Source organism: Homo sapiens, chromosome 15 (genome assembly GCF_000001405.40).
Source record: "Homo sapiens chromosome 15, GRCh38.p14 Primary Assembly".
NCBI lineage: Eukaryota > Metazoa > Chordata > Mammalia > Primates > Hominidae > Homo > Homo sapiens.
Genome location: NC_000015.10, coordinates 48231199 through 48248603, shown reverse-complemented (window position 1 = coordinate 48248603; position 17405 = coordinate 48231199). Strand labels below are relative to the sequence as shown.

Below are 17405 nucleotides of genomic sequence, written 5' to 3'. Positions count from 1 at the left end.
TGATGCAATGATGCAAATGCAGGCAGCTGGGTGTGATTCTGGAACATGGATACCAACAAGAAAGTAGGCATAACAGCTGCCATGAAGCTTATGGGTGGAGCCAATGCACTTGTTCTGAAAGAATGATTTTAAAGGATATTATCTAATGTATACAAGACTTTAAAAACTTTGGTTGCTTATTCGCTTAAATGCAGCACAGGGCAATGATTTGAGATCTTAGAGGCTAAATTACATAATTGAAACATCTCTATATGAAATCAGTTTTAATTTAATTTTTAAAAATCTAACAAACACAGAGAGTTACAAATTCCCCTCTTCAGCCTCATACAAATGCTATGAGGATTCATGAATTATAGTCCCTTCCTGAGTTCAATATGTAATGATGAGGAGCCCTCATTGCTTGGCACTGCTGTGCTGAGGAAGTCTCTGCCCGCCTATGTGTGGCTCCCAATGTCCTCTGCCTTCTGCTTCTTTTCCTCTGATATGCTCATCAGCAAAAGTGGGGCCTTAGGGAGGAGAGAGAAATGTGCAAGTTTAAGTTGATGAATGTGCCTCTCCAAGATTATGTAGCTGTTTCCATATCACCTGGGGAGAGGAAGCCAAGATTATAGTCTAGGTAAGTGATTCTCAAATGCCAGTGGTCTACGAATCTCTTGAGTAGCTTGTGAAATGTAGACTCCTTACCCTCAGTGAGTCTGACTCAGTTACTCTGGAATTGGGCCTGAAGTCTCCACACTTTCCCAAACACCCCAGGTGATTGCGATATAGATGGTCAGTGGACCACATTTCCAGAAACACTAACAGGCAATTCAATTCTGCTAGCCATCAGGTCAGTAGATATGGCAGCTGGGGGAGACTGTAGATTTAGACAGTTTCAGGCAGGTGGGAGGAAGGATTCAGCGTCATGTGGTTGGATGGATTTCGAACACTCAAGATTCAAAGAATAGATTAAAATTCAAAGTCTACCTCGAGTTCCTCAAAGGCCCTCTACACACAAGGATTTCTCATTTCCTTCTTAGATGCCAATATTCCCAAATGGGATCCTAAACATAAAACGAGTAATTTTTCAAACTAAAAGGAAAGCCCTATGAATAATCAGAAGAATTCTTTGGTTTTCAATAAAAACAAGAAAACTTTACAAACCAATAAGAATAAATGCCATGGCTATAAGAAAAGTGAGAATATATCCTCTCAGGGGTTCATTGTTTTTCCCATATCCCTTTGCAAAAAACTGCAGGGCTTTGTAGATGTTGTCCTTGCACAGAGCCTAATGGAAAAGAAGAGAAGAAATTTGTCATTTATAGCTATGCACAGTCATTTTCTCTAGGTGATTCAAACAAGAAGATTTGGGGAAAGATTAAGTGATACACAAGATGAGGCACAAGTTAACACTGCAGTTTATCATTCTTTATATTATTTGAATCGATCTTGACTATGTGGCAGACATAGAACTTGAGCCAGATGCAAACATTAACTGTTTCAGAAAATGATGGAAAATGATTGCCAGTGAGAACGAATATTTCAGCTTGATTCACATTCTGTGGAAATAGCAATAGGGAGAAGCACAAGCTGTTGTGCTTGTATTACCTGGAACACTTTGGGTGCGCTGACAAGGGAGGCCAGGGCGGAGGAGAGTGTTGCAGAAAAGATTCCCGCAGTGATGAGGGGGCCGAACCCTGATACCATGCTCATGACCTTGAGAAGAGAGGTACAAGTAAGGAGACTTTCTGTGATTTGGAATCTGTTTCATAAGCAAACGGCTTTCAACTACATTTTTTCCCCCTGCTTCATTCTCACATTCCTTTTCTTGTTGTTGTTGTTTGTTTGAGACAGTCTCGCTCTATCGCCCAGGCTGGAGTGCAGTGGCACGATCTTGGCTCACTGCAACCGCTGCCTCCCGGTTCAAGCGATTCTTGTACCTTAGCCTACCGAGTAGCTGGGATTACAGGCACCTGCTACCACGCCTCGCTAATTTTTGTATTTCTAGTAGAGACGGGGTTTCACCATGTTGGCCAGGCTGGTCTTGAACTCCTGACCTCAAGTGATCCGCCCACCTCAGCCTCTCAAAGGGCTGGGATTATAGTCGTGAGCCACCGCACTTGGCCATTCTCACATTCTTAATTTTATTTTTTAAAAATAGAAATGGCCTTTTTGGTTATTTATAAGATAATAAATGCTCACCCGCAATATATCCAGAAGATATTGGAAAGAATAAAGAAGGAAATGGTTTCAAGGATTTTGACATTTTCCCCTCTGTTCTTTGTGGCCATATGTTTCTTTGATGATGGGGAATTCTATCCAGCAGAAAGTAGTATTTTAATAAGGTTTGGGGAGGGACTCAGCTGTTTACTAGTCTTTTTTACAGCCATTAACCTTTCTTCTTCCTGCACACAGAGGCTTTTCAGACCTTTGCTATTTCTGTGCTCATTAAACATAATTTTAGATCTGAGACATGATGTGATTCTATCAATTTAAGTCATATTTTGGAATAATGACTTCAGCTGAGTTAATTTCTCTTTGTGAGTTGTTAAAACAGAAGAATGAAGCTTTCGCGACAAATTTACTTCTCCCTCTGCTCACCAATCATGCAGACAAATTAATATGTTTAAAGTCCTACAGTTTTCCTAACTTCCATTTTTCCTTCCCCCTTATTTACGTTCCCTCTGGCACTCACAATTTCTCTCTTAGCTTTGTCTTCTAGGCTTTCCAGGGCCACCTCAAAGGCTTTGTCTAAGCTGAAGGCCATGTATGAAATGCATTCCAAGATTTCTCAACGAACTTAAAACAGGACTGTCATTTGACCGAGCAATCTCTTTACTGGGTATATATCCAAAAGAAAATATATCATTCAACCAAAAAGATCCAGGCATCTGTATGTCTATTGCAGCACTATTCACAATAGCAAAGACATGGAATCAATCTAGATGCCCATCAATGGTGGACTGGATAAAGAAAATGTGGTACACATACACCATGCAATACTACACAGCCACAAAAAGAATAAAATCGTGTCCTTTGCAGCAACGTGGATGCAGCTAGAGGCCATTATCCTAAGCAAATTAACACAGGAACGGAAAACCAAATACCACATATTCTCACTTACAAGTGGGAGCTAAACATTGAGTACTCATGAACATAGAGTGGCAACAAGGGACACTGGGGGCGACCAGAGAGGGGATAGAGGAAGGCAAGGGTTGAAAACTAGCTGTTGGGTACTATGCTTAGTACCTGAGTGAACTACTCACAGTGAACAGAGGCTACTTGTTGTAATACCCCCAAATCTCAGAATCACACAATACACTCATGTAACAAACCTGCACATAGAGGATACTCCCTGAATCTGGAATAAAAACTAAAATTATAAAAGAAAGAAATACATAACAAGTGCTAACTAATCTAGGTTCCTTTCCACCATGAAATCTTGCACAACTGATCGGAACACACATAGTGCCAGGAGATGATCTCTCCCTGATGATGCAATTCATACCACTGCCTATTGTCTCTGACTACAGGAAATGTAACCATAGGATTTACTGCCATGTAATGACTGTATGACTCCTTTCATTTCCACATGAATCATTCCATGCTGGATTCTTATCAGCCAATAATCAATCAGTTGCAGATTCAGAAATCTTACTCTATGTGACATTCAAAAAATGAAAATAATAGCAGTGAACATTTTTGAATTTTGCTTCAAACCTGGAAATTGTTCATCAGCCCGTACTGACATGGTTCATGTCGACATCTTGAGAAGTCATAGCCCAACCCACATGCTGCTGAACCATTGCAGTTCATCCCAGAAATGATGGTGTCATTCATGTTCCCGGTGGCATCTCGGACCACACAGGCCCCTGTGGAAACAACCGTGGCTTGTTATTTCTTTATAAAGTTCTGGTCCCTTACGGTTTTCTACTGAAAACGTAGTTTACTTTGAGACTGAAAAGGTCCATTTCTTAGCCTCTGTTCACTGTGAGTAGTTCTTGATAACTGGAGGCTCCCATCTGCTGAGTCCTGGGGTTTCCCGTTTTCTGTAACAGGCTGCCATTTCAACTCCCTGTGTGACTTAGATTTGAGTGGTAAGAGACTTGGGAGTTGACACTCAGTCTTAATTTCTTATCTCTTAAAACTTGCATGGCAGTGCTTGGTACATAACACATACTCAATATATATGTCTGGCTTAGTACTACCAACTGGATGTTTTTCAAGTAGAAGGATTTATTTCCTCATCTGCAAGAGAGCCAAGGGGTGGCATTATGGAATTCTATTATAGTGATTAAGAGAACGCAGCCCCTCTTTTCAACTAATGATATTCCTTGCATAAGTTATCAAACAGAGTTACAGTTCTACATTATATGCGGTTTTAATGGTTTAAACAATGAAGGAAATGTTTTAGGATAAAATACTCAGATTTCCTAGGCCATGGTCAAATTATATTGATCAGGTATCTATCTCAGCTGATCTATTCCATTATTTTCATACATTTGAGTGTATCTGTCATTTTCTACTATAGCATTCTATGATGAACGTCTTTGTGCATAAACTTTTTCTTCTAGGATAGATTCTTAAAAATAGAATTATGGTCATTTAGAAGACTCTTGATATATATTTTAATCACTGGCATTCCCTTAGGATTTTTTCTAACTAATCTTTGCCATGTATTTGATAGGATTTTTGAAATATATGAATATACGTGTGAAGTATATATAAACTTTTCTGAACTACATGAAGGATAAATACTTTACAAACTAAATACCAACCAATAAAACTGCTTTGGATTTCAAACTCTACCCAGGGTGGATTCTCATGCCTTGCTAATAATACCTTTAAGACAGGTCCCAGTGACAGGAATAAATGTGTTTCCTTAATCTTAGCCATGGAATCCACATTCCTTGAATTTGGGAGACTTAAAAATTATAGACTCTTTTTGTTTGTTTGTTTGTTTTTGTTTTTGAGACAGAGTCTCGCTCTGTCACCCAGGCTGGAGTGCAGTGCACGATCTTGGCTCACTGCAACCTCCGCCTCCTGCGTTCAAGCAATTCTCTGCCTCAGCCACCCGAGTATCTGGGATTACAGGTGCCTGCCACCATGCCCGGATAATTTTTGTATTTTTAGTAGAGATGGGGTTTCACCCTCTTGGGCAGGCTGGTCTTGAACTCCTGACCTCGTGATCCACCTGTCTCCCCCTCCCAAAGTGCTGGGATTACAGGCGTGAGCCACTGCACCTGGCCAATTATAGACTCTTTTATCTGAAAGAGCCATTTTAAATAATCAGTGCAGGGATCCTTTTAATCATAGTACTGAGAGGTAGCCTGCCAGCCTCTGCTTGAATGCTTGAAATTATGGATGTCAATTACCAAGTCAAACTATTCTTTCATATTTTACCTGTTTGCATTGTTCATTTATGTTGAACTGAACTCTTTGAATCATGTATTTTAACCTCTGCATAACAGATCTCTCAAATTCCCATGAAGCCAGGCCAAGAGCCATTATTTGTACTAATGACAGGGCATTGACTCCACGACTGTCCTTCTCCTATACTAGGAAAGTGTAGAAATGTATATTTTCCCACCCTTTAGGGGCAAAACTAGAAGAAGCTCTGAAATCAGGTCTATACCTTTACTCATTCTCTCACTTTAACTGTAGAAAAAAGAAAACCACTCGGGAAATTTAACTTTAGTGGTTTCAAAGTCATTTAAAAATGTGTTGATTTCCTAAAGCACTGAAACAAAAAAAATCTCTTTACATGTAACTAAACTTGGACATGCCCCAACAATACATTTATCTACCTATTTATTTATTTTTGACACATGGTCTCACTCTGTTGCCCAGGCTGGAGTGCAGTGCTGTGATCACAGCTCACTGCACCCTTGACCTTCCAGGCTTAAGCAATCCTCCCACCTCACCCTTCCAAGTCGCTGGGATCATAGGTGTGTGCCGCCACGCCCGGCTAATTTTTTATTTTTTGTAGGAATGGGGTCTCTCTATGTTTTCCCAGCTAGTCTTGAACTCCTGGGCTTAAGCAATCCTCTGGCCTCAGCCCCCCAAATTAGTGGGATTACAGGCATGAGCTACTGTGCCCAGCCGCAACAATACTCTTAACAAAGTTATCAAATTTCCTCAAATTAGAGACAATGAGACAGGGAAGGATTTAAGTTCATTTTTTCTTTTATCTCCAGAAACCAACTGTAGGTACATGTACCTTCTCAATTTCTCTTATAAGCAGAAGAGGACTGGGATGTACCCTTTGGCTTCCATGGTGGTCCAGCCTGGAGCTGTTTTCCCTGTTGTACATAGAAGATGGTTTTCTTCTCTAAATGTTGGGAAACCTCTTCCTTTCCTACTATGGAAAAAGTATGAGGCAACCCCCAACCAGGAGGAGGTGTGGCTGCAGGCAGCAGGTAGAACCAAAGTCAGTCTCAGGAACAGCAGGTGAGTACACATATTTTCTGTTCACTGAACAATGTAGGGGCTGGCCACCTACACTGCCAGCAGCTGGGTCTTGTTCTGATATCCTGCCAATTGGTGACAGTGACATTTCCATATTAAGGATAGCAGTACAAGGATGAGACACAGTCACAAATTCCACATCTTTCATACTTTCCTAAGGCTGTTTTTAGGTTTGAAGGGTTTTGTTTTTCACTTCTTTTCTCTACTCTGTTTCTCTCCTGCCTCCTAGAACAAGGGAAGTGTATGCCAGAAGTGGTGGCCTCCTTAGCAGTGGGATTATCATCAAGGGTGGTAAAATGGGACCCTCTTTGTGTTCAGGTAGAATGACAACCTGATTAGCTTTACTCTAGCCCTGACCCAGAGATGTCTGTAGTACAGCTTAATTGCCTTCAAATCCCTAAAGTATCCACATCATTAACATTAAGGTACCAAGAACGGAATTAAAATTGTTGCCTTTTAAAAAACTCTGTATTTATGCTGCATTGAAAGCTCACTAGACGTGAACAACTGGACCCCTCGTAATTCTGACATTCTGACACTGGAGACGTACCACTTACCTACACAAATTGCAACCCCTAAGTAGGCAACAGTGGTGATGAAAATGGCCAGCATGGTTCCTCTGGGGATGGCATCTTGGGGATCCTTTAAAAAAATAATGTGGAGGTAGAAGAATACAGAGCAGAATAAGAACCATAGATCACTTGGAGTTATTTTCATATTTTCAGATTTTTAGGCTACCCTTCCTGAGGCAAGTTCTAAGAAAAGATCAAGCAAACAGCAAGTTGATGAGCTTGAGCTTTATTTTGGACAAAGACAAGGTGTGCAGAGTGAATAAAGAAATCTGTAAAACTTTCAGCTGAACAGAAGAGATCTCTAACTGTCCAGAAGGAAGTGTCTTTAGAAAAGTATAGTAGGTAGTTCACTCACCAAGGCCTCATCCTTCTCTTTATCTCCTATGAATTTCATTTAGATGTATCACATCTTGAATTTGTAGGGGAAAATATACAAACATATCTGGCATGTGGATAATATCTCTGGGTGTATTTTTTTTATACTGAGCTTAAGCTTGCCTTTAAAAAAATCACTTTTGACTGAGTAAAAAGGATGATCTACTTACTAAATTTTTCAATCCCTTAAATCCCCTATTTGAAATCTAGTTCAGAAATATCTGCAATGGGAGATATTTAATTTCCATAAGCAGACATAAAGAAAGAGGCAAATTCAAGCTTAAACCAGAAAATGGGCTTTTCTCTTGCTTATAAATGTATATACATTCACTAAGTTGAGTTCACATCATACTTAATTTACCATTGTATATCCTATTGGGGGGGATAAATCATATAAAATCAATTCTTAAGTAGCATATTGAATTGTATTCAATTCAACTTAATAGGGATTATTAAATATAAATTTTAATGTCTTCACTTATACAGGACAGGGCCTGGCATAGAGGAGTCAATAAATATTGAATTGAAGAAGGTACAATCTCAGCAGGTATGAGTCCCCCCACCAGAGCACATTAGACTCATCAATACAAATAAGCAATCACTGCAGTCAAACAAAGTTTGTGCTTTAAAAAGAAAACATAAATATGCTGAAAAAGTCCATCAAAAAGGTCATGCATAGTGAAAATGTAGACTCAACTTGATGACTGGAAGTCACAACTGAATCAAGCAAACCTGCCCCACATGGCAGTAAGCCAGCCCTATGGGACCACTCTGTGATCATTAATTTCTCCCCACTCTTCTAGGAGTATCTGTACACAGGGTTTGTTCTGACATGTACATACTGAGTCTCTTCCTTCCAAACTATTGTCGTCGTCAGTGTGGCAGGTGTATGCAATGGGGCAGCACACAGAAGGAAAAAGAAGGCAGTCATGACTGTGATGGGGCCTACTGAATCCCCTAATTCATGTTATGTTCCAAAATTTATTTGATTGATGAAGAATTTCTTGAGATCTGAGTAAAATGTAAAGAACTGACAGTGGGAAGAACAGAAATATATATGTATATATAAAATTTATGCATATTATATATATATATATGGATATATATATATATATATGGATATATATATATATATATGGATATATATATATATATATATGGATATATATATATATATATGGATATATATATATATATATGGATAACAGATGTGAAGATGGAAGGCAGTCTTATACCTAAAACACAAAAACTTAGTTTTTGGCCAGGTGCAGTGGCTCACGCCTGTAATCCCAGCACTTTGGGAGGCCAAGGCGGGCAGATCACCTGAGGTCAGGAGTTAGAGAGCAGCCTAGCCAACATGGCGAAACCCCATCTCTACTAAAAATACAAAAATCAGCTGTGCATGGTGGTATGTGCCTGTAATCCCAGCTGCTCGGGAGACTGAGGCACGAGAATCACTTGAACCTGGGAGGCGAAGGTTGCAGTGAGCCGAGATTGTGCCACCGCACTCCAGCCAGGGTGACAGAGTGAGACACTGTCTCAAAACAAACCAACAAACAAACACCCCAAAAACTTAGTTTTTATTTGCAACTGTCTGCTACAAGCTCTCAAATGGCTTAACAGGAGTCACATGAGATTCCATCATGACTCTAAGACATTATTATTTATTTATTTATTTATTTATTTATTTATTTTGAGATGGGTTCTTGTTCTGTTGCCCAGGCTGGAGTGCAGTGGCTCAATTGTGATTCACTGCAGCCTCAACCTTCCCATGCTCAAGTGATCCTCCCACCTCAGCCTTCCAAGTAGGTGGGATGATAGGTGTGTGCCACCACGCCCAGCTAGTTTTTTGTGTGTGTTTTGTAGAGACACGGTTTTGCCATGTTGCTCAGGCTGGTCTCAAACTCCTGGGCTCAAGCAATCACCCACCTGGGCCTCCCAAAGTGCTGCGATTATAAGCATGAGCCACCATGCCCAGCCATGATCCTAAGACATTAACATAGAAATCTGGATGCCAATATATTAATGTATGATTAGATATTCACATTGTCTGGTCTGGCTAGCTTTCTCTTAGAAAGGGTTCAGGAGGACTTTGACAAATTATTGGTTTTCACTTGAAATGTAGTTTCTATCCACACGCAGTAACCCAAAACCTAAACTTCTTTACCTTTTTTCATTAGACATTATATTTTTCCTTAGGACAGAATGCAAGCACTATTAGATGCCTGCTTTCTGGGTATGTCAACCACATCCCAATTTTGCTTCTCTGAAATCACTTCTTAGCTTTCTTGATTAGACTTGGGTATTTTCTAAATCTTCTCCCAGGTACATATTTACAGATCATCTGTTAGTGCATTATTAGCAAATGTAAGGTTCTGGATGGGAACTTTGTAACATGCCTTTGTGTCTGTGAGCTTCCTTCCAGAGGAGGATTCTGAGGCTGTGAGCGGAGATCAGGATCTTTCCTATCCTATAGTGTGTAAACAGTAAATGTTTTCTAAACTGACCGAATCCATTATGTTATATTTCTAGGTTCACTTTCAAAGAGAAATAATATCTACAAGTACTGAAGTTTCCTCCCCATTTCCCAACATATTGTCACCTCCCAGAACTTAACATGGTTGGCCCCTCCGGCTTGTGACCACGTTACTACTTCTCAAGGCATTCTCCTCTCTTGATTTTCATGGCCCCACTGTCTTTTGATTTCTCCTGCTTCTTAGCTCTGTCTCTTTTTTCTTCATGGACTTGCTTTTTACCATTAATACTTTGAAGGTCTGTGTCTGCCTGAACGCTGCCTCAAACCTCTTCTGTCTTCCCTTTTGCACATACCTGCATTAACTCATCCATGTCAAGGCTGCCAGTCCTGCCCTAGCTCCTTTCAGAGCTCCAGACTCATACATCTAGCTACCCACTCACTAGACATCGCCACCCCATGTCCTTCTGCCATTTCAACCTCAATAGACAAATGTGAGCTTCCTTTCCTCATCTACTATACTGTGGAATCAATTCGACAGGTTACAACCAGCGTTAAAAGAATCCAATAGAATAGAACTGATGTGAGAATATCAGAAGGCATTGCTTGTAATAAAGTAGAGAATCATTTGGGGACAATTTTCTAAGTGTGCACTTGGTTGTGATGTATAATGTTTTCTTACCGTGGATCATAGTAAAAAACATTTTTTTTTCTATTTCTTCTCCTAATTCTAACAAAAGCTGATATCTTTGGTTCTTCTCCTCTGCATGGCCTTAAATCAGGCCCATGCCATCTCTTGTCCAGATTATTATGGTATTTTCTAATTGATCTTTCTGCCTCCAGTCTTCCTACCTATTACACCATTTTCCCACCTTCCAAACCACCCTCCACAAGCTGTTAGCAGGCTCTCTCTAACACACATATTTAATCATGTTATTCCTTTGTCTAACCTCCGTAGAGTCTCTAGCTAGTTTGGGGATAATATCCAAACTCTATTGTCTGTAGTTAAAAGGACCCCTGAGTTCTGTATATAGTAAAAGTATATAGTATATAGTAGTGTATGTGTTAAAAGTTAAGCCTAATTATAAAATCATAAAAGTATTTTTAAATAAAAAGAATGCAACATTCTACAATAATATTATGACCATGTATGCCCCCAAAATCTTAACAGGCCATTGTTTGTAGTTTCTTTACATGTGAACTCAGCATCAGGGATTTCTCAGTAGAGGCTGCTAAATAAATAAAAACTTCTTCACTAACATAACAACCCTAAATCAAGTTAACACTTATTTTGAAGGGGGAGGAATTTTAAGTCTCGTCTTTTCAGACAGAAATAATATATTCTCTTCCTTTGCTTACTCCCAGAGTACTTAGGACACATAGAAAATTATTTATAAATATGTTTATTAATATATTAATGAAGGATTACATACACTACTCTGCACTTAAAATAATTCTCATTAGCAGCATCTTTCTTGGTGCCTTCTTACATCCCATTCCTTCTGTTTCAAATGTCCGTCTCTTCTTTGTCCTGTCGGCAAACTCCTGTTCATCCCTCAAAACCTGGATTGAGTGTCCCCTCTTCTGAAAGTCTTCCTTTACTTTTTGAGGGGACAGGCAATTTCTGCTTCCTCTTTCCTTTGCACTTGATTCTACTCTTGCTTGTTCTAATTCATATAAGGGAAGTCTGTCTCCTCCTTCGACTCTGAGCTCCTTGAGGGAGAGGTGAAGCTCCTTGTTTCCTCAGTGCCTGGTGTGAACAGGCACTCAGTGAGGGCCAGCTAAGCGGAACTGACTGCTATACATCTGATACAAACTTGTTTTTAAGGAGTCTAAAGAAAGAGCAATATTCTTTAATTTAAAGGTGTGCTTATAATTTGCAGAAATTTAAATCAGTGACCTCTGATACTCTTCCAGAGCTGACAAACCAGAAGTTCAACATCCACAGCTAAATTTCATTCAGCAGTGATACTATTTGAATCATTTTGAACAAGTTTCTTAACTTTTCTGCACTTCAGCATAATATTTTTATGCCATATTTCTGCTGGAGAATTTACCATAGCACTGTGGCCCCTAATATAAAAATCTAAATGCCTTTATTTATTTACTCAATTAGTATTTATTGAGGCCTTACTAGCTTTGAGGATACAGCAATGAACAAAATCAAAGGCAAACTCTCTACTTTCATGGAGTTATATTCTAGGGCAAGCACCTCTGGCTCAAGTCCCTCTAACAGCCGTTTCCCTTTGCCTTCAAGGTGATTGAGCCCCATCAGGGTTTCTCCAGTTGAACTGTAAGAGACTTCTCACTGTCCCCAGTTTCCCTATGCCTGACTATCCTCTCTGCCTGGAATACTCTATATTTCTTCATTAATAGCCAGCATCCAGACTTTGCTTTATGCTCAGGTTCAAAAATTATTTCCTTGAGAAAATCATCCCTGATTAACTTAACAATTATTTGTTCAGTATTTTCATTTCACTTCCCGCTGGACAATGCATATGTTTTTCATGTATGTATATTTCTTAATGAGTCTTGAAAATATTTCTTGTCTTCCAAAGTTGATAATAATTTGTTGTGGTAAAACCTGTGTCTTCTACTTTGCGTGTGTGTGTGTGTGTGTGTGTGTGTGTGTGTGTGTGTGTGTTAGAAATGGCTTATTGTCCCCGATATATGTCCTCACTTTCCTCCTTTTAATACTAGGACCCCCTAAAATTTTATCTGGGCATGTGGCTGCCCAGATACAGACTACATTTCCCGCCCTCCTTTGCAACCAGGTAAGGCCACAAGGCTAAATTCTGGCCTATGGAATGTCAGCAGGAGCGATACATGCAAGTTCTAGGAATTGCTTGCCCTCTACATGCTTATCCCCCTTCCCATGGACTGGAATGTGACCTTGCAGATGGAGGGCAAGCCCCAAAGTAACGGTGAAACAAAGAGGTTATCTGGGTTTCTGGGCTACCTTTTGGAGCAGACTTTTCTTATTCCACTGGATGGCCTACGGGATGATTTAACATAAAATTTTTATTTATTTATTTATGAGTATATCAAGACTTATCAAGAAATATACATACATTTTATTTATTTTTGTTTTTTAAAGAGATCAGGGTCTTGCTGTGTTGCCCAGGCCGGCCTCAAACTCCTGGGTTCAAGCAATCCTCCCACCTCAGCCTCCCAAGTGTCTGGGACTATAGACATGTGGCACTGTGCCCAGCTGAGCTAGATTTTGTGCATTAAAACCTGCATCTTGTTTAGGCCACTATTGCTGGTCTTTTATAACATTCCCATATCCTAACTCATACCATGCTCTTTGCAGTACTTCACACAGAATAATTAAGTGGGAAGCTAAGTGAAAATGTGATTATTTTCCTTTGTTTTGTTTTGTTTTTTTTTTACTTTTACAGGAAAATATTCCTATTCATTTGGGTTTAAAAGAGAAAGGGTGGTTCTGGTATTTTTTTCACTGAACTACATTTATTTTGGGGAAATATGACACACTATCACACTACCCTGTTCTTCTGATATCACTGAATAAGACTTTTGGAAGAATTATCTGGAATATAAATCCAAATTTGGCATTAAAAGAGAGAACTTTTAAATCATCAGGAAATCTTGCAGAAACCTACAGTTTGAATCTGTAGGGTAATATGGTCACATCTAACCTCTCTAGCTCCTTGTGCTACCCACCAAGTGTACCACCACTCCCAGGACTGCAAAGCAGAGCAAACAACGTACCTCCAAATCTCCTGAGATATTGGCACCAGCAAGAATCCCAGTAGCTGCTGGGAAAAAAATGGCAAAGACAGAGAAGAAGCCTTCACCCTTTGTGAAGCGTGGCCCAAAGTTTTCTGCAAATATTGATGCTGCAACATAAATTATAAGAAAATTATGATGTAGACATTTTTCACAGTACAGGAGATTAAGTTACCATTGGCTTCCCTAGTCCTAAATGAAAATACATTCCTATATTCTAATTTTTTTTTTTTTGAGACAGAGTCTCACTCTGTTGCCCAGGCTGGAGTGCAATGGCACGATCTCAGCTCACTGCAACCTCTGCCTCCCAGGTTCAAGCAACCAAGCAATTCTCCTGCCTCGGCCCCCGCAAGTAGCTGGGATTACAGGCGCCCGCCACCACACCTGGCTAATTTTTTGTATTTTTAGTAGAGATGGGGTTTCACCATGTGGGCCAGGCTGGTCTCAAACTCCTGACCTCAGGTGATCCACCTGCCTCGACCTCCCAAAGGGCTGGGATTACAGGCGTGAGCTACCGCGCCCGGCCACATTCCTATATTCTAAATGGAATGAACTTGAAGATGTGGTGTACTCCTGAGGAGCTTTATGTTAATATTTGCCAAAAGTCAAAATATATATCATAAGGTTTTAGATCTCTATGACATAGCTCTGAAAAATCAATTTTTGTGCCAAAAGAGATCCAGGCTGCCTGACTTTTTTGCATCTAGAAAAGGTTGAAAGAGGAGGAGATGAATTCTCTCATGATCACACTGGCATACCCACAAATGCACCACCACACACATTCACACACACACACAACTACATTCTCACATGCATAAATACCATAAACAATCAACACACTGGTTTTCTATGCCTTTTTTGGTAGTTGAAGAACCTTGTGTGTGAGTCTACTTTACAATTTTGCTACTAATGCATGAATCTCTTTACTTTTTACTCCTAGATATTAGATCTTAGCTGCTTATACCAAATCCTCAGTATGGGAGAATATTATGATGAGAAGTTTTGTTAATAAAATAATACCATCCCACACATTGCCACCAAATTATTAAATAAAAAGGAAACAACCTAGAAGAAAAACAGAAGGAAAAAAGAGAAAAGGAGAGGAAAAAAATGTGAACAAAAGAATCTGGGATGAAAAAATAGGAAAAAAGGCTTAAAGAAAAAATATGGTAGGAATGGGAAGGGAGGGAAAATAATAGAAGGGAAAAGGATATTAACATGCAAAGCAAACCAGAAAGTCTTTATGAAGAAAAGGAATCAGGAAGAAAGAGGTATGTGATATCAAAAAGAAATAAATACTGACAACTGAGTAAATAATAAAGGGAAACATTGAAAAACTCAGCAGTGGATTCTTGAGTAAGCTAGAGGGAAAAGAAAGGCAAGAACAGATAGAAGGAGTAAAATAAGGAGAGAAAGAAGTCAAATTTCATGCTCTGTGATGTTATCACAGGATGCTACACTGAGTAACTCCTACAGTCTTTTCTGCCTGAAAGCCTGACAGTGATGCTTAACTAGGTAATGCTGTGGGAAAGCAAGGTGCAAACAAGTCTAGCAGGAAGAGAGAAATGACTATGTTTGACTTTAGTGCTCTGCAGTGGTTGAACAAATTGAGCTGTGTCTCTGTTTCTACTATTTGACAGCAACAACAAAAGGTTTACAAAGCACTTTCACATCCACTGTCTTATTTGTTTCTCAAAATTCCCTCAGGAAGTTCTTATTGTCACCCACATTTTGGCAGGAAAATCTGAGACCCAGTCACATTAGGTGTTCTGTCCAGCTGTTAAGTGGCAGAGTTGAGATCCAACCTTGGGTCTCCTGAATCCAACTCCAGGCTCTTTCCTGGAGAAATGTACTATCCATTTTATCACTAGTTAGTTATCACTAGTTAAACTCATATATTTTCTGGTTCTAAAACCTATGGTGTGCCCAAATTTGCTGGTGAAGTACTGGGTTTCAGAAGAGAATGATAGTTTTTGCCTCTATTATGTTTCCCCAACGTACTTCCCATTTCTTTTGGGCTTCCGCATCCACAAGTAACTTGAAAGGGGAGCCAGGCATTCCGAAGGCTGGGGTTGGGTTGATGGGGATGGTGATGAGGAGGGCAATGGAGAAGTATTTAATGAAAAGCAACCAATTTATTCCATGTACCTTGGTAATTAAAGAAACCTCTGGACTTTTTCTCATTGTTGGATGGAATGACAGTTCCAATGAAGAAGTTTGCAATAGCAATTAGAAGAATGACCAGAAGAATGACTTGGGCCTGGAATGGAAAGGTAAAAGGAAACCAAATCAGATTTATTTAACAACTTTTTACATAATTATAAAAGTTAGAAGTGTCCACTGCAGAAAGACTCTATCTGATATTTCAGTTAAGTCTCTGCTACCCAGAGTAGGTAATACATGCATCCTTATTAGAATGGCATGCAAATAGGTCTTATTCTACTTGGATGTATATGCCACATTTTTAATGGCACACGTGTTTGGGCAGTTGAACGTGACATTTCTGTAACATTCTAAGTAGCAGATGGGTAACTTCCACCATTGTCCCAGGAATGTAAAGGAAGCCAAAAGTTTTAACACTGATAAACTTGAGGGGGGTTTTGTTTGTTTGTTTTCAGCAGAGCACTTATGGGTTGTTTCTGTTCCCAGTGCTAACTGCAGCAGTTCGAGAATGCAGAATGATGAATACAATTCCTGTGATTCCCAGTGCACTTGACGTCAGGCTGCCGCTGTGTGCTCAGCACAAGCAGTCTGCAAAGTTGACTGGTCAGATGGTCTTCCTTCAGCCCCTCCAATGCTGCAAGGTGTTTATGGCTTGGTGTTGCCATATGCTGTTTCCTTTACCTGGAAAGCACTTCACTCTACTTCTTGCATAGCTATTTCCTTCTTTTCATCCTTTAAGTCTTAGTTACCTCCTCAGAGGGCCTTTCTTGAAAATTTAATCTTTTATGTTTTTTTATTTTATTTTGTTTTCCCAAGATGGAGTCTCACTCTGTCGCCCAGGCTGGAATGCAATGGCACGATCTCGGCTCACTGCAACCTCCACCTCCTGGGTTCAAGCAATTCTCCTGCCTCAGCCTCCTGAGTAGCTGGGATTACAGGCATACGCCACCCTGGCTAATTTTATATTTTTAATAGAGACAGGGTTTGACCATGTTGGCCAGGCTGGCCTCGAACTCCTGACCTCGTGATCTGCCCGCCTCAGCCTCCCAAAGTGCTGGGATTACAGGTATGTGCCACCGTGCCTGGCCCATTTAAATAATAACAGCTATCTGTTCACTGAGGGCTTACAATAGAGCAGTTGCAGATTTACTTTCCCTGCATTCTTTTAGGTAAATAATACCACCAACAAACTGACAACCTTATGGAGTAGGCAATATTATTATCCTCATTTTAAAGGTAAAGACACTGAAGCACCGAGAGGTTAAATAATTTACTAAAGGCTGCAGAGATATAAGCTGGATTCAAATTCAGGCACTCTAACTACAGAGCTGGAGCTTTAAATGCTACCCTCTACTGCTAACTAAACTTCATTGCCTCACTCAGGGAATAAAGTTATCTAAAGTAGGGTTCTGTGTTTTTTCATCACAGTGTCCTGTTGATACTAATTTTCACAAATTCTCTTTTTATATTTATTTCTTTATTTGCTTGCTTATTATTGATCTCTTCATAGACCATATATAGGGATTAGGCCTGTTTTGGTCACAGGTGAATATCAGTGCCTAGAAGAATGCTCAACATGTGGTAGGCACTAACTTAATTTTTGTTGAATGTGTGAATGCATAATC

At 39.8% G+C, this 17405-nt stretch overlaps 1 protein-coding gene across 3 annotated transcripts in view; it reads right to left on the bottom strand.

The window, feature by feature from the left end:
• Positions 1 to 17405, bottom strand: part of SLC12A1 (solute carrier family 12 member 1) — a 97777-nt gene that overhangs the window by 55475 nt on the left and 24897 nt on the right. For all 3 annotated transcript variants that reach the window (NM_001384136.1, NM_000338.3, NM_001184832.2), the window contains exons 8-13: positions 15766 to 15877; positions 13600 to 13727; positions 7005 to 7089; positions 3700 to 3851; positions 1588 to 1695; positions 1144 to 1267 (exon numbers count right to left, since the gene is read on the bottom strand). In NM_001384136.1, the coding sequence (NP_001371065.1) occupies positions 1144 to 1267; positions 1588 to 1695; positions 3700 to 3851; positions 7005 to 7089; positions 13600 to 13727; positions 15766 to 15877 (709 nt within the window). The remainder of the gene's footprint in view (positions 1 to 1143; positions 1268 to 1587; positions 1696 to 3699; positions 3852 to 7004; positions 7090 to 13599; positions 13728 to 15765; positions 15878 to 17405) is intronic.